General features: G+C 43.1%; 1 protein-coding gene across 10 annotated transcripts in view, besides 3 other annotated features; it reads right to left on the reverse strand.

The window, feature by feature from the left end:
- The window catches only part of FOXP1 (forkhead box P1), a 629,271-nt gene that overhangs the window by 537,383 nt on the left and 67,207 nt on the right, over window positions 1-24,681 (reverse strand). For all 10 annotated transcript variants that reach the window (NR_146143.3, NR_146142.3, NM_001244810.2 and 7 more), the window contains one exon: window positions 1,336-1,465. The gene's annotated coding sequence lies outside the window, so the exon portion shown is untranslated. The remainder of the gene's footprint in view (window positions 1-1,335; window positions 1,466-24,681) is intronic.
- Window positions 5,359-6,297: an enhancer, noted in NCBI's record as "OCT4-NANOG-H3K27ac hESC enhancer chr3:71546600-71547538 (GRCh37/hg19 assembly coordinates)". NCBI's record gives its function as "activates a minimal SCP1, AML or CMV promoter by ChIP-STARR-seq in naive H9 embryonic stem cells {active_cell/tissue: H9 hESC(naive)}" and the evidence as "EXISTENCE:reporter gene assay evidence [ECO:0000049][PMID:30033119]".
- Window positions 11,526-12,725: an enhancer, noted in NCBI's record as "P300/CBP strongly-dependent group 1 enhancer chr3:71552767-71553966 (GRCh37/hg19 assembly coordinates)". NCBI's record gives its function as "activates an origin of replication core promoter dependent on BRD2, BRD4, P300/CBP, MED14 and CDK7 cofactors, with strong dependence on P300/CBP, by STARR-seq in HCT116 cells {active_cell/tissue: HCT116}" and the evidence as "EXISTENCE:reporter gene assay evidence [ECO:0000049][PMID:35650434]".
- Window positions 18,468-18,762: a silencer, noted in NCBI's record as "tiled region #15380; K562 Repressive non-DNase unmatched - State 7:EnhWF". NCBI's record gives its function as "represses a minimal TATA promoter and a strong SV40 promoter by Sharpr-MPRA in K562 cells {active_cell/tissue: K562}" and the evidence as "EXISTENCE:reporter gene assay evidence [ECO:0000049][PMID:27701403]".

The raw sequence follows: 24,681 nt of genomic DNA on the forward strand, positions 1-24,681 counted from the left end.
GATAATTTCCAGGGCCTCAATAACACTGATAGGATAGGATCCTCTAACCTACATGCTTTGTTTTAGATATAGAAAATCAAGCCAGGCACAGTGGCTCACACCTGTAATCCCAGCACTTTAGGAGGCTGAGACGGGCGGATCACCTGAGGTCAGGAGTTTGAGACCAGCCTGGCCAATGTGGTGAAACCCTGTCTCTCCTAAAAGTACAAAAATTAGCCAGGCATGGTGGCGGGCGCCTGTAATCTCAGCTACTTGGGAGGCCGAGGCAGAAAAATTGCTTGAACCTGGGAGGCGGAGGTTGCAGTGAGCCGAGATCGCGCCACTGCACTCCAGCCTGGAACAATTGGGAAACTCCGTCTCCAAAAAAAAAAAAGAAAAAAAATCAAAGAGAGAGCCTAATTTGCCCCATGCCAGGTTACTATTAAGCCTCCCAACTCCCAATACAGTGCCCTTTCTGCTTCACTACACTTCTCTCCATTATTTAGAATTTGCTTCCAATACTACTGCACTAAGACAGAAAAAGATGAGGGTCTTACCAATTAAATGCTATTCAATACAAACCCTGAAATGATAAGGTTCTCCATGAAACTGACCTCATCCAATGGCAAGGCTACCACAAATGATGTCAGAGTTGTCACCCAAAATGCCTGGCCTCAACCAATCATTGTCTCTGCTAATGACAAGTCACAGTGTTCATTACTACAGGGGAGTCATTGATTGCTGAGGAACAGGATGGATGGAAAACACACTTAGAGAAAAATATCATCATGTCCTTTCTAACCTCCCCCTAAAAAGTCAATGAATAACCTAATGAGGTAAATTATGATACAAAAAAATTTCCAGAAGTCTTTCAAAAAATCTTTGAAAATCCCAAGTTTCCAATCCTTTGGCTTTCTCATAAGTCCTGATCATACAAAAAGTTTGGGATAGGACTCTCTCAAGGAACAAATTAGACTCAAATTTCCCCTAAAACTCAAGATGAAAAAATTGTTGTCTTATTTCTTGGTGGCTCATGTTATCACCAAGTTGTAATGGGACCAAAAAAACAATTACTCATTCAACGTTGCACATGGACCAAAACTGAGATAGTCCATCCTTCAGAGTATGATTAAAACAAACAAGCCAACAGAGGAAGTTATCCTATGTCCTATTATGCCTTTTATAAATCCTCAGATCACCGCAGGAATTATCTGAAAAGATTACACCAGAAAACAATGACAGAGTTTGTCCCTTCTTTCAAGATAAGAATCTCTCATCCTGGGTGGGCAACTGTCTTGAAGGACTTTTTGTCTTGTGAATTTTCAGATGAATAATCACAAACATTCATTCACTCACCCTTTTGGCTAGCAGGCATCACATCCATCCGTTCATGGCTGACAGCAAATCAGAGAAGGGATCGAAGCCCTCACCATTGCCGAAATGTTTTGTTCGGAAACTGGAATTGTCAACAAAAGCTTCTGGGACACTGCAACACAAAAATATTTTTTACACATAACTAAGATGTAACTTCTAAAACCACCACTTCCTTACACTTGAAAACAGCAAGACATAGATTCTTGAGGTAGGGGAAAACACCGTTCAAGCCAGGGTATGTCAATACATCAAGTGTGATGCTGTTAAATATGAACCGGAAATACTGTTTTGAAAGATACATTTACTAATCACTTCAACACGTACACTGTAAAGTTGTTATTTATTATGGGCTTTGTACCAAATATTTTAAATATTTTAGCATATGAAAATACCACTTCCCATTATCAAGTCTTCAGGTAACAATAAACTGTTTTAACTAAAATATTACACAGATAAATGTACCATTCCCTATTAAGTTATGATCTTTTTCGAAGAACAAAAAAAGTAAAAAATTTAAATAATTTTAAATTATTTTAGAAATACTAGTACTAATAACGAACATTAAAACTAGTAGGAAAGGTAATCATCATTTTTTTCTCCAAAATAATTCTATTTTATTCTAAAAATGATTATGGATTACATAAGGAGCAATACTCATGGAGATGTTTCCATCAAGAAAGCACATACGGTGCGATGGTCAGGGCTCAAAAGCTGAGAAGCCTGAGTTCTGGACCCGGTATGGTCTTCAGTCACTAGTGTGGCCCCAGGAGAGCCATTTATCATCTCGATTCCAGTCTCTTCACCTGTAGGGTCAGGGCATTAACCGATGCTCTTCAAGTTCCTTCTACCTCTAAGCTTCTGTCTTTTTGAAAGAAGCATATTTCTTCTAAATACTTTAAACTAATTAACTTCTCCTTTAAGCTTCCTGATTAAAAAGAGATTTTTGGTTTTTGTTTTGTTTTTACCATGATTCACTCTCATGCTGACCTGCCATCAACACTGAAGATGTGCTGTGACCAGAGAGTTTTTCAAGCGCTTAGAATGCTAAGCCTGGCACCAGTACCTAACCCTATTGAGCCAGCATCCCGGCGGCTGGCAGCATCCCCTGGGTGCCCAGGAAAGGCTTCCATTCCTCTCCAATGAGCATAGCTCCATGTCCTGCAGAAATCTGTCCAGATGTATTCTAGATTGATGCTTCTCAAACTTCTGTGCATAAGCATCTTTTGGAGAGCATTTCAAAATACAGATTCCTGGGACCCATCCCCGAAGACTCTGATTCACTAGATCTGGAGTGGGCCTGAGATTCTGCATTTCTAGAAAACTACCAGGAGATGCTGATACTACCAATCATGGACCACACTTCGAGTCAAATGGCAAAGTCCTATTCTCCAAGCCTCCAAGCAGCTTTGAGATCCAAGAAGTACTTCCAAGGCTCAGACATGCTCCCTAAAGCCATGAAGTCTATGTCACATAGAAAAAAAAAAAAAGAAAAGAAAAAAGAAAAAGAAAAGAAATGAAGAAATGGGCTGAAGTTGTTTACCATCTTTAGGATAAAATTTGAATTTCTTTCCATGGCCTGAGGGCCCTACATAATCTGGCCACTTTCTACTTCTCTGACGCTGCCTTAACTACCAACCCAATCCCAAACTATAATCAATGTAGATACAGTGGTCCTCCTTTTGTTTCAAGCAAGGCAAGTGTCTTCCCATCTCAGGGCTGGTGCACTTGCTATCTCAGCTTCCCAAGATGCCATGAGCCCATTCTTTACACAACTGGTCCCTTCTCAGTACTGGGACTTAGGGACAAAGGCCACTTCAAAAAGCTTGTCCTGCCCACCTACTTAAGTTAGGTTCCAAGTTAGTCTCAATTATATCATCCTATGTGCTTACTTCAGAGCTTTCGCCCTGATCTATTTGCTCATTTGTCTTCCCCACTAGAATATAAGCTCAATTAGATAAAAGAACTATTTCTTTTCATCGCAATGCTCCAAAATTTCAGAAAAATGCCCAGCTCATAGCAAGTACTCAATATGTATCTTTTGAGTGAATAAATGAATCAACAACTGAAAGAAGTAACTTTTCGGTACTCTCTAAAAATATAATTGCCATTTGTTGAAAACTCATTATGTACTGGGTATTGTTTTAAGTCTTTTATAATCATTATTTCATTCTATTCTTACAACAAAGTTCTTAGCAGATATTATTATTTTAAACTCAATATGTGGATAAGAAAACTGAGGCACAGGGAGTTTTAGCAGCCTGACTCAACTCTATAAAGCTTGTGCCCATGGGAACTCTATATTTTCCAGCCAATACCCTAATATAAAAGTCCTGAGTTTTTGTGATATACCCTTCTGACTCAGGCTTGCTCAAGTGAATTTTGGCACTACCTGACCATGCTGGTACTAACAATCATGGGCCACATTTTGTAACAGGCAGGTAATGCAAATGAGCGAGGAAGGCCAGGTGTAAGGTAACAGGGAGAGGGAAGGAATGTGGCAAGCTGAGAAATCCTCACTTTATCAGCTTCAAGGGGGAAGCCATTGTACTTCCCCCTCCAATTACTGCCACATGGGCACATACCCTCAAGAACCTCAAGAGCTTTCAATTCTACAAATAAAGGCAGTAATCTAGATTTCTATTTAGTAAAATTCCAGAATTTTTCAAAGATGGCAGCTAACTTTTTAAATAAGTTATATTTAAACAAAACAAACATGTTGCAATCCCTGTAGCAAAGGATGGATGAGGTCATGCACTGTCTCCAGTTTTATGATTCCAGAGTGATTCAGAAGCACAGAGAAGCAGTACGGGTGACACAGAAAAGCACAGTAGGTGTCTGGGCAGATAAGAGCTTTCTAGAAGAATTCATTATCTTGAGGTTTTGGGAGGAATTGGAAGATTGGGTGGAAAACGCATTTCACAGGTCAGAATATCATACTCGAAGGCTTGGGGGTGAGGAGTAGGCAAGTCAACAGCAAAGATCAGCCATGAGGAGAGGGCTGGTGGAGGTTTCCTGTGGGAGTTTCGTTTTCATTCGGACTGGAGTGAGTAGCAGCTTTCTAGCTAAGACATAAATCGGTTAAACAATACTCTATGTGGCCGGCCACAGTGGCTCACGCCTGTAATCCCAGCACTTTGGGAGGCCGAGGCGGGCGGATCACGAGGTCAGGAGATCAAGACCACACTGGCCAACATGGTGAAAATCCCTCTCTACTAAAAATACAAAAATTAGCTGGGTATGGTGACGCCAGCTACTAGGGAGGCTGAGGCAGAAGAATCGCTTGATCCAGGGAGTCGGAAGTTGCAGTGAGCTGAGATTGCGCCAATGCACTCCAGCCTGGCGACAGAGCAAGACTCTGTCTAAAAAAACAAAAGAAACAAACAACAACAACAAAAAGACAAAAAAAAACAATGCTCTATGTGTATGGTCATTAGTGCTGTCTTATTTGACTTCTAATATTTTAAAGTAACCAGGCATATCTAAAAATAAAGGGTGAATCACCACTGTGGTGTGTGGAAGTGTGTGTGTGTGTGTGTGTGTGTTGTTAAGAATTCAACAGTCACAGGACTGAATTCCATCTTCATGGAACCCCATAGCTAACTAAAATACTTAACTGTTCTGAACTCTAGACATAAAAAAATACAGCAACTGAAATTTTTAAAAATACCAGAAGATAGATACCCAAATAAATTATCCTTTCCACAGTACAGAGGCAAAAACAAAAAAGAAAAGAAAAAAATGACAGAAACCCCCACCCGCCTACGTAGAATTGTATAACTAGAAAAACTATCTCTTAAAGCTGAGGGTGAAATAGAAGCTTTTTCAAACAAACAGAAGTTTATCACCTCTCTATAAGGACATTCTAAAAGACTTACTTCAGACCAAAAAGAAACAATTTCCAGGAGAAAGTTTTTTGATTTAAGAAGGTAGGGAACAGCCAACTTGTGAAGTAGAGTAAGTGAAAAGTAAATGCACTAACAAACAATGTGCAAGTCTCAAACATTTTTTTAAAATGTAGCAGTACCCCCACTTGCTTTCTACCCCAGCTCACGGTATTTACACTGTAGCAATATCAATCACCAAGGCCATGGACTGCAAATGTGAGTGTGCAGGGAGGCACCAGCTTGAAGCCCAAGTTCCCACCCTCCATAGTCCAGAGATTCTTAAACAAGTTCCAGGAATCTGCTGTTCTACCCAACAGATACCCCAGGTAACTCTGATAAAGATCTGAAGAACACTGCATTGCTCTCTGACTACTTTAGGGGAAGGAATTATTCAGTGAACCCCCAGGGGCTCATCCCTGGGAGGCTCCAGCTGAGAACACTATCAAACCTTTGTTCTTTTCCACTTCACTACAGCCCCAGAAGTACCTTGGCCCAGGAGGTCAGCAGTAACCCTGCCTCAACCCTGCTAATCAAGAGCTGCAATAAATTAAAAGCCCATTGAAATATTTTAGAGAAAAGCCGAGAAGTGCTGAAACATTAATTGTGCCATATTCAATCTGTTTTCCTAGAGATTTGAAAAGCCAGATTACCATCTTGGGGGTCATTAGAAAGAATGAAGCTTTCTCCCTTTTCAATTTACATATTTAAAAATGCATGCGTTCTGGCAGTGGCTACTAAGTCCTTTCCAACGCTTTCCAAGTCCTGTGGCTACTCCAAATGCCACAGTCTAGCCATGGAGAGAGAAGCGTGGAATGCCACCGGGGCCTGCCTTGTTTCTGTAAAGCAAAGGAACCCAAATCCCAGGGCCTGTGGTTGCAAAACAGCTCCAGAAAAACAGGTAGAGGCAGAAACAAAACAACAAGTGATGTTTTCTTGTTTTGTTCTCCCCTGTTTATTTTTCCCTGAAGCAATCCCTGCTCAGTACAAAAGTCTGCAGGGAGCTAGAAAGAGCAGCTGTGGTTCCCTGAGGCCGGGACCTAGCAATCAAGTTGTTTACCAAACACTGCCAGGCACCAGGAAAACAACAACAGCACAGACAGCATTTGCATCTATTTTTCAACCTCCAAAAGTCTGCCCTGGAACTTGCCTGCACAGCTGAGAGAAGAGCTTAAAAATTAAAGGAATGAACTGCACTGGGTATTGGCCTCCATGGCCTAAATGTAATCAAGTATTCCATTTCTATTGAAGAATGTCTATCCTAAAAAAAGAGGATTGAGGAACTGCAGAATTTCAAGCAGTGGATTGATAACAGACAACATGCTCATCACGGGCATTTCTGAGCATGCCAACAAAGGCCCTCTCAGCAAACTGACATCATATGCTGAGCCTCCAGCAACTCACAGACATCTTGACCAAGCACCAGGATCTCCAGGGGGGTTTGTAAAACACAGATTGCTGGGCCTCTCCTGCAGTTTTGCATTCCATAGGTCCAAGACGGGGCCTGAGAATTTCTAGCAAGTTCCCAGGTGATACTGATGCTACTGATCCGGGCACCATCCTTTGAGAACCAGTGCTCTAAAGCTAGAGGCTCTATCCCCACCCTGAAGATCTAGGAAGGAGTTCATTTCCCACCTTGACCTCTCCCATGGGTTACCTGGTTGAGTTATGGCAGTTACCTTGCATAGCTGTTTCCAGAACAAAATGCATTGGATGGTTTCCATCTGCTTCTCCAGAGGCTCCACTCACTATCCCCCACCCAGCTCTGTGTCCTAGAGGGCCGCTCTCTGTCCAACCAATGGGAGCTCTCATCTCAGGACGCCACAGAAGATGGGGTATTCATTTCTCTAGTTCTGAGTCCCTCTTTGACCAGTGGCAACCCTGCCAGGCAGCTCTCTCCACACAACTCCTCTCTCTGGGTTCTTTCAGCCCTCCTCTGCCTCCCCTAGTCCACTTAAGGCCTAGGAGAACTAAAAGCCATCTATTTCCATCAGGGACCCTTATGCAAAAGTCAAATTCAATGTGTTGCCCACTGGATCTCCCTTGGTTTGAGAATGCTAAATGGCAATTTTATACACACACATAATATACGTATGTATATACACACACATATAAACACGCACAAGTATACATATGTGCATATAAACATACAGACATGCAGATATATACATCTTCATAATTGTTCGTTTTTAAATGCAACTAAATCAGATTGGCCAGAAAACTTGGGAGTCCCCTGGCCAAGGCCACCTCATGGAGTTTGCATGGATGTTTCCTCGGGTCCCACGTGCCACAGCAAGAGTGAGCCTGCTCTGTCTAATCTGTTACACAACCTGATAAGAAGTGCATTTGTGAGAGCTTCAATCCTTCTCTAATTTACAAACTTAGTTTCCTTTGTTGCAAATGGCACCAAAATAGAAAGGGAACAGAAGTGGGTGGAGCGGGCTCCATCACCAACTCCTGTGAATAACTTTTTGACAATGCTGAACCCAGTTCAAAAAAGCACATCAGCTGCAAAAAAAGGTATGTGTTTGTCAGCTCATAAATAAGATGCCAATCCACCTCAATTCATAGGCTAGGAAAAGAAGAACAAATAATACTTCTGTTTTTAAAATAATAATAATAATAACTCAAACGTGCCCTAAATAAGCATCTGTCTTTAGCGCTAAGTTCTAATAAAGTTCTGGTAAAAAACGGTCACCAGATTTAACCAAATGGGTCACTACACCAACCTCCATGGTTTGGGCAAGCCCATTTAACTAACTTTGTTTCAGTGAAGTTCCCTAAAACTAACCAATCACTATTCCTTTTATTAATCTTCCACTAGTAAGGTTTCTTTCAACTCACCAGAGGACTTATTGGTATCTATGCTCAAAAACAAATTTTTAAGTAAACCCACTAGACTAATTAGAACACATGGGGAATTACGTAATTACTTTTCTAGCTCTGAGGCTCAACCTGAAACCTTTTCGGTTTGTTTGTTTATTGCTCTCTTTTTCACTAACAATCTCCTGAATATTCCATGTGAAACTCGCAGGCTAGTGAGATTTTTCCTGTGGCATCTGTCTGCTCCATTCCCCCATCTATGTCCAAACCCTGCTCTAGAGAACAACTGACCTAACTGATCACTTCCCCTCTTTGGGGATGAGATAGACCATCATCCTGCTGGCTTCAGAACACTCCAGAATCTCCCTTCTGTGCTGAAGAAACTCCACTCCTCCTTCCCCTGGGCCTTAGTGCTCACCTCTCTCCACCATCTTCCACTACCATCATCTGGATGAATGGAGAGACTTGCCTTTTACCCTTAAAGATGTCCCCTCTCTCCTTTTCCAGAAGCCACTCATTCTACATCTTTCAACTTCAAGCAACTAAAAAAGAAAGAGTTGGTCTCTCTTCAATTCCTGTTACAGCCAAGTCGTTCCTCTGCCAACAGCCCACCTCACCTGTCACCTACCCTCAAGGAAAGTACCATCACCTTCCTCCACCGTGATTCCAAGATCCATGGAAACCTTTCTATTCATAGTCACATGTAAGGGAACCACCGCTTCCTGCCCAGCCAACTGGCAGTTACTTCTAAATGTCAAGGATGGCTAGGCACAGTGGCTCACATCGTTAATTTCAGCACTTTGGGAGGCTGAGATGGGCAGATTATCTGAGGTCAGGAATTCAAGACCAGCCTGGCCAACATGGTGAAACCCTGTCTCTACCAAAAATATAAAAATTAGCCAGGTGGGGTGGCGGGTGCCTGTAATCCCAGCTATTCGGGAGGCTGAGGTGGGAGAATTGCTTGAATCCGGGAGGCAGAGGTTGTAGTGAGCCCAGATCAAGTCTCTGCAGCCTGGGTGACAGAGTGAGACTCCGTCTCTAAATAAATAAATAAATGGCAAAAATGCTCTTCAACACCTTTCTCAGGTATTTTACTACAGAGTGAGCATCACTAATCAAAAAAATCCAAACTCTGAAATGCTTTTCTTTTTTTTTTTTTTTTTTTTGAGACGGAGTCTCGCTGTGTTGCCAGGCTGGAGTGCAGTGGTGCCATCTCGGCTCACCACCACCTCCGACTCCCTGGTTCAAGCGATTCTCCTGCCTCAGCGTCCCGAGTAGCTGGGATTACAGGCACGCACCACCACACCCACCTAATTTTTGTATTTTTAGTAGAAAGAGGGTTTCACCATGTTGGCCAGGATGGTCTCAATCTCCTGACCTCATGATCCACCCACCTTGGCCTCCAAATTGCTGGGATTATAGGCGTGAGCCACCGTGCCCAGCCCAAAAGGTGAAAACACTTTTGAACAACAACATGACCTTTCGAAGAAAATGTTCATTGCATGGGTACAAAAAAATAGAAAGAATGAATAAGACCTGGTAGTTGATAGTACAGCAAGGTGACTATAGTCAAAATAATTTAATGCCACTAACCACCTTGAATCCATTGCTCCTCCCAGTGCACACAATCCACCTTCACGTTTCTGAACTCGGTGTCTTTTACATCATCTAAGACTCATATTGTGGTACCCAGTGCCCTGAAAACCCTGGTATCCCTCAAGATGGCCTTGTCTTTTCTACTGACTTCCTGTTCAAGCTCTTTGGTTTCTTTCGCAGAGTGAGATCAGCAAGGCAGGGTCTGGGATTTGCAGGTTATATCCTGGATGGTGGCACGACAGCGCCTGGAACACAGAAGGTTGGGAGGCGTGACGCTCATCAGGAAGGCTCTTTTGGGGAGCCAGGAAGAGTCCCCCAGAAGCCCACTTGGCACCCTATCTATAACAAGTTGCTCTTTAAGAATCATGGGAACTCCAGAATCATTTTCACAAATACCTTCCACTCATGATTCAATTAAATGGCAGAAAACACAAACCTTCCGTTCCCACTGGCAAACTGGGTCTAGCTAACTGAGCACAGCTAGCACAAGGCAGGCCCCCTGCTAGCAGGGCAAGTGGCGGCCCGGTCCCCAAGGCCCAGGGGAGCCTCTGCAGCTCCCTGGAAGGACGGTCAAGTGAACAGAGAGCTGGCTGCCATCTGGGTTCTTTATAAGGCTTTTGTGGTAAACATGTTTACTTTCTTTTGATTGGCTAGGCTTATCAAGTATTTTGTTTTGAGTCTTGCTCTATAAACATGTTTACTTTGAGGGGAGAGCTTTTTTGATAGCTAGCACACTTGTTTTTCACACTTTTAAATTCAAAACATATTTTTCACAGCCTGTGGTAAACAACTCAAGGTGGTAAACAAATTATATTATTTTCATCTTCACACTAGAGAGGTGATCCCTATGTATCTATTCAAAGGCTTGAACTGGGTTGCCGGTAACCAAGGCTCTCTACTGGATGAGAACAAGAATTATATTCATAATGATGATGTTACTAAAAGGAAAACATTACAATGGCAAATCCTGCAGTATCAAACCTAAGCCTCAGTTTCCCCAGTGGGAACATTCTAGAAGAAGCCAGCCATAACAACAGCAGGGGTAGTCCTATTAATTGATGACATCCATATTTTCCATGAAAAATTAAGGTTATGTAACCGGCATACATAACAGCTAATACGGGAGGAAAAATCAAATAATGTTTCAAAGAATGAAGAAACCAACTAGGTCACAACACTAAGTGCAATTCTTTTGAGATCTGTTTTCTGTGATGATTTTTGCCTGCTTTACAATTAGAAAAAAAAAAAAAAACAAGTAGTAGCCTCTAATGTAAAACTGAAAAGCCTTCCATTATTGGAAAAGGAGTAAAATAACAAAAGAGTTAAGAGAAGAAAAAAAAGGAACATATCTCTTGAGAGAAAACCAATGGTCCCTGAAGTAGGATTTAAAAGTGCTGTTTACATAGAGGCATCAGAAGAGCCCCTCTGTGGAGGTAAGTGTGAAGTCCCATAGCAGTGGAGCCAAATCTGTTTTCTAGAGAGTTCTCTTGGTCTCCATGTTCCAACTAGAAACAAAAGCCATCTTACCAGAGGCCTTTGTAGTTAGTTACAAATTACTTAAAGGAATAAAAATACAGGCCAAATTACTTGCTAAAATAAATAAAGCCCCCAGCCCCCAAATCATCTTCTAAGCTTATGCTCAAGTTAAGTTAAAAAGCAAACAGAATTTCAACATGATGAAACCCCATCTCTACTAAAAATACAAAAATTAGCTGGATGTGGTGGCACACACCTGTAATCTCAGATACCCGGGAGGTTGAGACAGGAGAATCACTTGAACCCAGGAGGTGGAGGTTGCAGTGAGCCAAGATAGTGCCATTGCACTCCAGCCTGGGCAACAGAACGAGACTCTGTCTCGAAAAAAAAAAAAAAAAAAAACACCACGAATTAAGGTTGTAGCACCACACTATGGTAAACCTCCTCAGTGACTCGATGTTATTATTTCGTCAGGTATGGTACTGTAGGGAGGGGAGAATGGCAGAAGACACAGGAAGCCTGTATGGAGCCTCATCCATCATTCAGGCCAGATCATGTACAGAACATACAGGCATCAGAGTACAAACATACTAAGTAGCCTTGTTTTCCAAGGTTATAACATGCTCTGGGGACATGCTCATTAGGGGGTCAGGAGAAGGAGCCAAGGGCATTTGGAGGCAGCCACTATTCCTGACTTTCAGATTCTCTTCTATCAAGGAAGAAGACCAAAATAAATAATTTCCAGGTAGTTTTAGCAGAAGTGCAGCAAGACCCAGGGGGTGAGTACACATCACAAATTCCCAGGAAGATCAACGCCATCCCAGCTTTGCCAACAACTGTTTGAGATGTTTCGCAAGTCAGTGAGCTTCTCGGAACCTGAGTTTCCCTTCTTATAAAATGAAGGCATTTGAATCCCATCTTTTTGAACAATACTATGTCATAATTTTATGCCTCAAATCGAAAAAAACACTTTGGGGGATAACCGAGAATTCCAGGCTACATCATCCAATCAATACAATACTTGGAGCACTTTCAAAAAACCCACCAAGGAACCAAAGCTACCATAACTTAAAAGGAGCAGAAACGAAATTTCAGATTAATATGACGTTGGCCAGTGACTAGTCATCAAGCATACTTCAGCATTTAGTTGTCTGAGCAGACAGGTGACTCAGCGGGAAATGGGTTACCCAGCCAGCCACGCTCATCTGACCCACTGCCTCAAAGTAATTTTTCCTCAATTTTCAAAACCAAGAAAGTAAATGACTAATGAAATGACTGAAGAATAACTTCCAGACAATTCTTACATTAAAAAATAAAACCAAACTTCAGCACAACAGTAAGTAGATGAGAAGAAAACAACCCGGCTCAGAGCTGTCCAACGTCTGATGGCCACAGTTCCTTCTGACAAAGGAAACGTGCACATTCCAGGGTGTGTGGAATGATGTGGTTTGGAAATGTCTCGAGGCGCCAAGGGAAGAGCTGATGATCAGGACAATGTCATCAAGAAAAGTGTCACGGAGCCCAAGTGGTGACATTTCTGTTGCAAATATGAGAAAGGAAAGGAACACGCTGGTCCTTCACCCTGGTGTTCAATGCGGTCGTAGGACTTTTGGATATTCTCCTGGGTACTTCCAGTTCTAACACCAACTAACATGTGCAAAGCCTGTGCTGCACTGCACATGAGGTACTCTGTCCATAGCATTTTCATCCACCCTCTTATTAAGCCTTATAACGGTGGCAAGAGTAAATGCTATTATCTTACAGATGAACGAACCAAGGCTGGTGAAGGGAAGTCCTTTACCCAAGACCACAGTCAGTGACAGAGCCACATCTTTCTGAAACCCAAGCCTCGTCCCTTAACCACCAGTGAATACTACTGAGTACCATTTTTCCAACAGCTCAAACAGGAAAAGTAGGAACGTTTGGAATGGTTCCCAAAATAAAGACAACCTGGCAACATAGAGTTATAATTCTGTTCAGACCTCTACGTTGCCTCCCACTGTCTAAAACCCTTGGCTTCTTGCGTGAAGTCAGGCAAACCCGGGAAGCAGAAAAGCAAGGACCCAAGTCACCCCTGGTAGTGCAGCTTGGAAATGAGACAGGACATCTCCCCCAAGACAGGAGACAAGGAGGGAGTTTATGACGGCATATGAGGCATGCACTCAGTCCTCCTATTGGACTGTAGAAGAGGGATGCTTTTTTTTTTTTTTTTTTTTTTTGAGATGGAGTCTCACTCCGTCGCCCAGGCTGGAGTGCAGTGGTGCAATCTAGGCTCACTGCAATCTCCGCCTCCCCTCCCAGGTTCAAGCGATTCTCCTGCCTCAGCCTCCAGAGTAGCTGGGATTACAGGCGCTTGCCGCCACGCCCGGCTAAATTTTTGTATTTTTAGTAGAGACAGGGTTTCACCGTGTTAGCCAGGATAGTCTCGATCTCCTGACCTCATGATTTGCCTGCCTCGGCCTCCCAAAATGCTGGGATTACAGGCGTGAGCCACTGCGCCCAGCCCTGAAGAGGGATGCTTTCTATTCTTCTCTCGGTCTCCCTTCAATTCTCCCATTTTCTTCTGAATCACAACTGTGGGCATCGTCCCCCTTCCTCTCCTACTTCTTCCCCTCCACGAATGTCACCTGTCACTAAAGTCTAAAGGATGAGATTATCACTTCCGCCCGGAAGCCTCTCAAATGAAATTAAATCAAACATTTATTGCACTGTGGTACCACATGCACTGGGTGAGGTGGGGGATACCCAGGCACAGTCTGCCTCTCTGGGCAAGAAGTTAAATAACAATGTGCGATTTAAATAACATTTCAAGACAACAATAAGAGCCTTGTCACCGGGAGTACATGATTAATTGCCAGATGAATTCTACAGACAATAATTGCTGCAAAGTTCAAAAGGAGGGAGCAATCACTTCCAACAAATATATCCCAGGTTGCAAATTCTCCACTGAGCCTTAGTTCGCAGTTGGCTTCGGCAGTGTTGGGAGTTGGCTGCCTGGGGTCCGATCCTGGCTGTGATACTCGTGGTCCAACCCTATTTAAGTTTTCTGGGCCTCTGTTTCATCAGCTGCAAAACAGAGGTAATGATACTTCCTACATCATGGAGTGGTTTGAAGATTAAGTGGGATAATGCATGTAAACCTTGAAACAGGGCAAGTGGTAGTTTTACATCTCCTGTCTCCACGGCGGCGTATCTGCTATTCGAATCCGCACACGCTCCCTACACTGGCTCCCCCTCCTCACCTCCCTGTGTTTGCCAAATCCCCAGGTTTTCTTTTCCAACTAGCTGATAACTTTTCCAACTAAGGGGTTCCACGGTATCCTTCCCCCAGTACCAGGCAGCTACTACGTCTGCCCTTGACTTAGGCTCGCTGCTAGCTCTTGCATCCAGATTTCCACCTCCATTTCTAATATCCTAGGACAAGAGCAGGAAGCTGAACAACTGGGGGAAGCTGGTCCTTCCCCTCAGTACCAGCCAGCTACCACGTTTGCCCTTGACTTAGGCTCAGTGCTGGCTCTTGCATCCAGATTTCCACCTCCATTACTAATATCCTAAGACAAGAGCAGGAAGCTGAACATCAGGGCACCTGGGTTCAGCTCCCAACGTTGCCATAGAGTAGCCTTGTAATTCTGCACACTTTACAGTTTCTCTAAACCTCCATTTCTGCTTCTATAAAATGGGGCTAATGAAAGTCCCTACCTCCAAGCATTGCTGAGATTAAATTATCCAATTGGAGAGCACTGTGCTCAATGCCTAGTCAACCAGCAACGGCTCCACACCTGAGAGCTGCTGTTCTCATCTTTGCTTGGACCACACAACTAAGTGAACAACAGTGTCCCCGGCTGCTCTCTCCTCTCTCAAATGTGTGAGCTGCTGCCAGTCCTTCATGGTACCAGATTTGGGTCAGCGAACCACAGAACTTAATTATGCCCCAGTTTTCTTTCATGCCCATTGATCTAATTTTACATTAAAGTTTCACAAATAGAAACAGGTACTCTCATGCACAGCCAGGGCCAGGGTAAACTGACACCGCCTTTCCAGTTGGGTGGTGATATGCTTCAACAAGACTTAGAATCCCTTCCAAAGAGTAAGGAGTGAACAGGAATGCATGCTTTTAACAAAATAGTAATCACTGGGGAGAATTCAACTACAAGGTCACAAAGGAATACATCACAGCATTATCTAGTATATGAAAACAGAAAAATAAATGTCAGTTAAAAACTATTTCTGATTCATATGATAATGAAATATTATGCAACCATTAAAAAGTATTGTAAAAACAAACAAGGGCATAGAAGGAAACGTGAGCCCCAAATCATACCTGCTTACCAAATGTCTATTGAATGATATGTTGCAAAACTGCTTTTTTTTTTTTTGAGATGGAGTCTCGCTCTGTCACCGAGGCTGGAGTGCAGTGGCACAACCTCGGCTCACTGCAAGCTTTGCCTCCCGGGTTCACGCCATTCTCCTGCCTCAGCCTCCAGAGTAGCTGGGACTACAGGCACCTGCCACCATGCCCGGCTAATTTTTTCTATTTTTAGTAGAGATGGGGTTTCACCATGTTAGCCAGGATGGTCTCGATCTCCTGACCTCGTGATCCACCCACCTTGGCCTCCCAAAGTGCTGGGATTACAGGCATGAGCCACAATACCCAGCCCAAAACTGCTACTTTTTAAAGTTATTTGAGTACTTACTGTGTGCCAGCTGACAGGAATAAGCACATTACATATGCTAGGCTACTGCAAAATCCAATGAAGTGTTATTATCCCCATTTTACAGACAGCAAATGGAGACACAGGGAAATAAAATAACTTGTCCAAATACACACAACTAGTAAATGGATTTAAACCCAAGTCTTATTCCAAAGCTCTTGCTCTTTTCTAATGAGTGCTGCTGCCTATAAACTTATTAGTATATTTATGGCTGCATTAAGTATATTTCTATAGGGGGAAAAAGGACTAGAAAAGCTGACAAAAATACTAGAAGTAATTCTTTTTAGGGGGTGGCACTACAGATAATGTTTATTCTAGCTTTGATTTGGTTTTTAGATTCTTTACATTTATCATAAATCATGTTTGTAATAAAGGGAGGAAATTTGGGGGACAAAGTATTTTTCTGTTTTAAAAGCTCAAATGGCAGCCACCATCTTTCCCTCACTGTGACAGAAGCAGATGCTAGGCAGGCGCTGGGCTCGTGAGGGAAGGCAGTGCCTACCCAGTGGTTAGAGGTCCAGGTGCTGGAGTCAGACGGCCTGGGTGCAGAACTCCCAGAAGCTCTGGGGAAGCTGCTCAGGCCTCTGTGAGTTAGAAATAGGCAGGTATGTACAGGGCTTGGATCAGGGCTCACAGATCCTGAGGGCTCTGTAATATGAGTGATACTCATTGTTTTACGAGTGACATCTTCACTCTACTCAATACGTTTTATAGCCTCTTTCTGCAGATGGAACCAAAACATCGTTAAGGCAATGTGTCCCAATATCTTTTAACCAATTATCGTAATAGATCCTACAACCACCCCTCTCTGGCCCCCAACCTCCCAAGGGCTTAGGGCTGTCAAAGAAACAACTTAGGTCTGCAGAGTGATACCTGCCTTGGAATTCCAGCTCTGACCCTGGCTGGCTCTGAAATCTCGTGGATGTCACTTAACTTCCTTGCCTCAGTTTCCTTGCTTACAAGATGAAGAGGGCAACAGCTCATAGCTCACAGGATTGTGGTGAGGACAAAAGGGGAAAATGTATGTGAGACACTGAGCTCTGCATTCAGCCCACTGGGACTTCTCAATAAACCTGACCCATCATGACTACTTTGGCATTTTCTGATACAGCTCCACTCTCCGTATGGATTTCGCCAGTCATTATGGGTTTCTTCCTTGTAATGGTTTTCTTGCCATCATTTTTTCATATTTAAGCATTGTATTATAATAGAGAATAGAGATGAAGCATGCCCTTGTGCAGATTCTGATACTGTATGCTCCCTTATTAGTCAGCCAGGGCTGCTGTAACCCAGTACAAGAGACTGGGTGGCTTGAACCACAGGCATTCATTAATATTTGCTCATGACTCTAGAAGCTGAAAGTCGAAGATCAAGGTATCCACAGGGTGGGTTTCTCCTGAGGCCCCTCTTTTTGGCCATCTTCCCTCTGTGTCATCACACGGTCTTCCCGTGTGGGTTTTTGTTAGAATCTCCTCTTCCTATTAGGATACCAGTCACACTGGATTTGGGCCCATCCTAATGATCTCATTTTTAATTTAATTATCTCTTTAAAGTCCCTATCTCCAAATACAGTCACATTCCGAGTGAGGTACTGGGGGTGAGGGCTTCAGTGTATACATCATGGGGGGAGGACATAATTCAACCCACAACAGCTCCTCACCTCCTGAAAGGACAAGCTAGGCCCCAAATTAAGAATCAGTTATGCTCTAGGAGGCTCAGATGGGAGAATTGCTTGAGGCTAGGAGTTCAAGACCAGCCTGGGCAACATAAAGAAGCCTCTGTCTCTACAAAAAATTAAAAATTAGCCGGGCTCAGTGACATGCACCTGATTCTTAGCTACTCAGGAGGTTGAGGCAAGAAGATCACTTGAGCACAGGAGTTTCAGATTGCAATGAGCTATGATTAGGCCACTGCACTCCAGGATGGCCAAGAGAGCAAGACTCTGTCTCTAAAAAGAAGGAATCAGGCCAGGCACGGTGGCTCACGCCTGTAATCCCAGCACTTTGGGAGGCCAAGGCGAGCAGATCACCTGAGGTCAGGAGTTGGAGACCAGCCTGGCCAACATGGTGAAACCCCATCTCTACTAAAAATACAAAAATTAGCCAGGCGTGTGGTGGCAGGCACCTGTAATCCCAGCTACCAGGGAGGCTGAGGCAGGAGAATCGCTTGAACCCCGGAGGCGGAGGTTGTAGTGAGCCGAGATTGCGCCATTGCACTCCAGCCCGGACAACACAGCAAGACTCTGTCTCAAAAAATAAATAAATAAGAAGAGTCAGGCCATGTGCGGTAGCTCATTCCTGTAATCCCAGCACTTTGGGAGTCCAAGGCGGGTGTATCACTTGAGGACCAGCCTGGCCCACACAGTGAAACCCCGTCTCAACTAAAAATACAAAAAATTAGCCAGGTGTGGTGGTACTTGCCTGTAATCCCAGCTACTTGGGAGGCTGAGGCAGGAGAATCGCTTGAACCCAGGAGGCAGAGGATGTAGTGAGCTGAGATCCCACCACTGCACTCCAGCCTGGGCAACAGAGTGAGACTCTGTCTCTAAAAAAAAAAAATCAGTTGATCTTGGGCCTTGGGCTTTGGCAATCTGAGCCAGTCCAGGTACTTCAGAAAATGAAAGCACACAGGTGCAGCACAATGGAAAGGCTTCCCCCTAGACACTTATGTGTAGTGTCCTCCCAGTGCTGTAGTGAGCTCCTTGCTCTTCCCAGCCACCAGACCTGCAGAGGGGGCTGATGCCTACCAACTGCAATGTTCAACTAAGCTCTGTCCAATCGAGTCAGCAGACCCAGCCATTGCTCATATTTACATTTGTAAAAAGTCAGGACGGAAAGTGTTCATTCCTGGCATGAACTCCCCAATCTGGGCTCATAAACATAAATCAAAGCTGAAGGTCATTTTTAAAAAATCAGTACATGCCTCATTAAAACAATTTTTTTAAAACTGAGTTTCTTGAACCACGGCCTATAATTTACAAAGTGCAAATGTCTGAGATACGTGTGCTAAATTTAAAGAAACAACTATTATTAAACACCCCATTATGTAAGGCAGTGAAATATATTTGCACTCTGTATATCCGTTATAATATTTCAACTGAGCCTCACAATGTTTGGCAGTTCTTTCCTTCGGTGATAATAAAAGGCTTTTCTTTCCATTAAATATCTAAATTAAGTCAAATAGTGTATGTTAAATAAGCCCATAAGTCCTTTTGTATGATGCAATGAAGTCTTGAAATGCTTATCTACTGAGCACTCTGGCTTAAAGGCTGGTGGTTTATGTCCCCTGCAGAGCCCCGGGACCCTGCTGGCTTGGCCAGACTGTGAAAATAAGCTTCAAATGACCAAACGCAACTGCAACTTTAAAAGTAGGAACCAGACCAGACACAACAAACCACAGTGTAGTCAGCCTCACTTGTCATAATTCATATGTGTGGAATTCAACTGTAAAAGCATTCACAGAGTGCTAAATTTCCTCCATTGGGGCATTCCATGTGGAATGTCAGATTTTGAAAAGCTGCTGATAAGCCACTCCTGATTACAAGTCTACAAGTTGTAGAATTAATAAAAAAAAAAAAAAAATTACCCCAACCCCAAAACATCTCTGTCTGTGTCATCCAATCCTAAACAATGTAGGCAAGTGCCAATATTTTTAAATAACCAGGCCATAAAAATATGCACTCAATTGGTGGCCCTGTATGAACACTGACTTCCTTTTTTTTGGTTTTCTTTTAGCTCCATGTCTACATTATTCTCCATTTTGATGGCCTACATAATGATCACTTATAGCAATCCTTTTTTTGAAAAAGAATCTCATCATGGTTCAATGACTTAAAAATATAATCCTTACAGATTTTTAAAAGAGAAACTTGAATGGATAAATATATTCATGTGTAGATTTCAAAGCCATGCATGTATATATAGATGTAAACACATGAAAATGTAATAATCCAATTAGCACATCTTTTTTGGAAACTAAATTAATCTTAACAAAACTGGCCTAAGGCTCAGGTAGGAGTTGACGGAACTGCTGGTGATGACGACAACAATAATAGCTGCCATTTAGTCAACATTTACTTTGTGCCAAGTGCAGTGCTCAGCCCTTGACATAGATTTTCCCATTTGGTTCCTCACAACAAAGCTCTGATGTAGGAATGCATCTTTATACGTGAGAAAACCACGGCTCAGAGATGGGAAGTCACCTGCTCAAGGTCACATAGTAATTAAGTGGAGGGGAACCAGGGGTTGAACCTAGTTCACATTGTGCTATATTGCCTCCCAGTGGTGCCTTAGAGACAGGATATAGGGCCTGGCGAAGGGTAGGGTAATATACCTGGCCCCTAAATGACCTCTTATCTTGGCTAAGGACAGGCAGCATAGCCTAGGCCCCATCTCAGGAGAAGATTTAAGAGCAGACACACCCTGTAAGCAAGGTAAAAAGCCAGAGCCATATCCCACCTCTCTTGCAGACACAAAGGAAGAAATCCCCACCCAAAAATGAACTCCTAACCTTCCTCCACCTATTACCTTATTGCCTTGTTACCAAAAGCACCATATGCATGTTCCTGAAGAGTCTATTTTTCCCCCATCACAACACACTTAAGTAGTACATATTTAAGACAGAAAAGCAATAGTAGTCCTCTTCTTTCTACAATGCAATCCAACTTTTCCTGGGTGACAAAAGATGAATAAAGGGATGAGAGAAGCAAAGGTGTTGGATTATTCATTTGTGAATGCCACTTCATACAACAGCTGGTCACTACCCAGTAGAGTAGAAAGAGAACAGAAAGGGAGTCAACCAACTTGGATTCTCAGTTCCATTCTGTCCCACATCCTGGTGCCGTCATCTCTTCCCACACACAGTAATGAGGGAGGAAAGACCATCTCCACCCCTGTGTTTATTTCAGACTTTCTGTGACTCTGAGAGCTTCCTTTAGGTACACAGAACCAGCACGCCAGCCCTACGGCTCAAGCACCAATGCCTAACACCAAGGAAACGTCACCCTCAAGAGTTAAACTGAGCATCTCCTTACACGGCAAACACACAGAAGGATCCCTGAGATACTAGTAAGGTCAGTTTTAGGGGAACATGAAAACAGCCTGCTCCAGTAGCATTTACCAGGCATTCCTAACTCCCTGGGCTCCCAACCTGGCCCATACCTCTTTCCTTAACTCCAGATGTGTGTACCTATCTGCCTCTACAGCCTGTCCTCTGGAATGTCTAGACATCTCAGACTCAACACGTCCAGAACTTGATTTACCCTCTCAAGCAGGCTCTATCCACGTGATTTTCAATCTCAAGCAGGCTCTGACCACATCCTTCCCCAACACAACTTGTCCTTCCCAATCATAGTCCACGGCAACTATATCCTTCTCATCACACTCAGGCCAATCATCTTTGAGTCAATACTGACTCGTGTCTTTCTCTTAAATTCTACATCTATTCCATTAGGAAATCCCATAGAGTCTGCCTTCAAAACAGATATAAAAAGCCAGTACTCCCCTCCTTCGCTACCAACTTCCTGGTCACAGCCACCATCATCTCCCCGCCAAGCTTCCTAACAGGACTCCCTGCTCCTTCTCTTACCCCACCCGTGGTCTATTCTCAACACGGTAGCAAAAGAGAACTTCTTAAAACTTATAGCAGATCAACACCTCCACCTCTCGCACCAGAACTGTGTGAAAGTTGATTATACAAAATGGGTCAGGGTGTAGCGCAAGGTGTGAAAGTTCATGATGTGGAATGGGTCATTCTTTGTCATACCCCAAACTGAATCACTCTGAGGGCCTGGAGGATAAAGGCACTCAGGGCACATAGCATGGCTCCAAGAATGTAATTCTCTGCAAGCCCAGCTGCTGAAACTGCCTGCTGCAACCATAAGACCGGGTTTACCTAATAGCTGCTGAAATGACCTGCCACAACTCTTAAGGCTAGCTCTACCTATCACCGTCACTCGCTGTTCAGAGCTTGCCAGCTCCCCTAAGCTGCTTCTCTTGCCAGTGAGCTTTCTTTCCATTTCTAATAAAACTATGTCTAATAAAATCCTCAAACTTTGCTCCAATGAGTCTGTGCATATGCCTTGAACTGCAATTCTGTGATTCCCAAATAAAACACTGAATTTAGACACTTGTCTCTATATTTTGACTTTGACAAAGGCAAGTCCTTTAATGGTATGGCCCCAACTGGCTCTCAGGCCCCATCTCTCACCACACTCCCCCAGTCCACTCCTCTTGGCCACAGCAGCCTCCTGACTGCCCTTTGATTATGCATGACTTGCCCCCAACCATAGGGTCTTTGATTAACTGTTCCCTCTGCCTGGAATGTTCTACAAGTCTAACTCATTCACCTCCTTCAAGTCCTTACTCAAACAGCACCTTTAAAAAGAACTACTTGGCGTCACAATCAAAAGCACAGCCCACTCTCACTCCACAGAACTGCCAACCTCATTCCCTGGTTTTTCTTCTCCTGCACACCCCTTCTAACCTCCTAACTAATCTACTTATTATGTCTGTCTGTCTGCATCCTTTCTCTCCCCAGAATGAGTGCCCACAAGGCCAGGATCTTTGTCTGTTTTGTTCATTGATTTATCCCACATGCCTGGAACAGTGTCATGTACAAAACAGGCACTTGGTAAATATCTGTTGACTGAACAATTGAATAGATGAATGAATCCAGGAGTGGACATTCTGTGAAGGCTCTCCCCCCTGTTGGGAAGGGTATGTTCTCTTCACCTCCTTTTTTCTCCTTCATACAAGTTGAAAAAACAGACCTGTCTAAGCTCAGCAAATACCCAGCACGTACACCACAGTTCTGTGACCTGCATGTGGAGCCGACCCAGGTGAGCAGCTCAATGCTCTCGCCCACTGGGCCCAGTCACAACCTCAGAATTCATCTCACACCACGCCCAGTAAGGGACTGAAACATCCTTTATCGCTCCTCTTCCAACATTCCTTTCCACTCACTAACAAGATACCCAGCCCTAAGACAAGAAAAACAGTTCAAAGATGCAAACCTATTATTAAATAAAAATTAATTAGACTCACAGCAGGCAACTTCAAAAGAAAAATACTAAAACTACCATTTTTTATAGAAGTCAAAATTTTAATTAAACAGCATAAAGATAGCCAGGCTATCTGCTTTCAAGTTTAACTCAAAAAGTTTAGTTTGTGAATTTTACGACAGACCTCCATTCTCTTCGTTACAAACTGGCATTTCTAGACCCTCTCATAACCAAAACAGGCCTTTCTGTTGAATATATAACCATGGCTATAGTATTCATGCCATCTATCCCATACCCTCTGCATCGAACCAAAATGCTTCACACAACGCGGTATGGAAAGCTGCTATGTGGACCAGTATCTCCATTCTTTCTGAATCTTAAGCTCACATTTCCAATGCCATTTTATTTCTGCTTGTTGTTTTACACTAAGATGTGATTAAATTTAAAAGAAACGTTCAACTAAATGGTATACGCATTTCCCTTTGATCAAAATTTACACAGCAAAAAAAAAAAAAAAAAAAACTGCACATTTATACAGCTGAGCTCGCCGCAAGTCATTGGAATCACGCTTGCAGGGTAACAGTCATTTTCAAGCTTTTATTAGTTACTATAATGATCGGAGACAGGGGTCATCAAAATGCCTTTGCCAGAGCCAATCTAACATTACTGCAAAGTCCCATAGTGAAATAAAGTCTAGGGAGGGAGGGGGAGGAGAAAGGGAGACTTTTGTGCTGTGTGGCTACAGAAGAGAAAAAAAGTAACTCAAGAATGTAACATTGTGAAGAAAACAGCACTTAACATAAGTTATATCTAGCTCACCTTTACTGGTTCAACATAAGCAAAAACACTGCTGCTACCAGGGTAGTGAGACCAGGAAGAGATTACTAAGGAAAGTTGCTAAAACAAAAGGAAACAAAAAACGTCATCTTTTTAAGGAAGGAACAAGGGTCAGAATACGCTCTGTCTCTGATGTTTCAAAATGATTTTGTTTGCAGCCAGGAGAATGGGTTAGAAGAATGGCCAGTGTCGTTCATCTGAGATTCCGTAACACATTTTGTTTAATCAAACGCTCATTAAATACAAACTTATAAAAGAGAGTGACAACTAAATACAGTACATGATCCTGGATTGGATTCTGGACTAGGCAAAACAACAGCTACAGAAGAGATCAGAGACACTGACAACATCGTGCCACAGTCTTTTATCAATGCTAAACCTCCCGCTTGATTAATGTACTGCAGTTACGTAAAATAACGGCCTTGTAAGGAAATACATGCTGAAGCATTTTATGGTAAGGGTGCTTGAGATTTCAAACTTACTGTCAAAGGATTTAGGAAAAGCACAATGCAAACGTGTGTGTGTGCACACGTGTGTGTATCTGAGAGTATGAGAAGGAGGGATAGAAAAAGAATGAAAAACAAATGGAACCAAGTATAATCAATTGGTAAATCTCGCTAAAAGGCATAGGGAATTCTTGCATTATTCTTGCAACTATCTGTGTTAAGTTTGCAATTATACCAAAAGAAAAATGAGCTCATACTTTGTATCCTAATCTCATTCCTAAAATATATTATCTTGGTTATTTTCTAGAAAATGAAATATACTAACCAGAATAAGACTCATTCTGCTGTAGGCCGGGTGTGGTGGCTCATGCCTGTAATCCTAGCACTTTGGGAGGCCAAGGCGGGTGGATCTCCTGAGGTCAGGAGTTCAAGACCCACCTGGCCAACATGGTGAAACCCCATCTCTACTAAAAATACAAAAATCAGCTGGGTGTTGTGGCGGGCACCTGCAATCCCAGCTACTTGGGAGGCTGAGGCAGGAGAATCGCTTGAACTCG

Source organism: Homo sapiens, chromosome 3 (assembly GCF_000001405.40).
Source record: "Homo sapiens chromosome 3, GRCh38.p14 Primary Assembly".
NCBI lineage: Eukaryota > Metazoa > Chordata > Mammalia > Primates > Hominidae > Homo > Homo sapiens.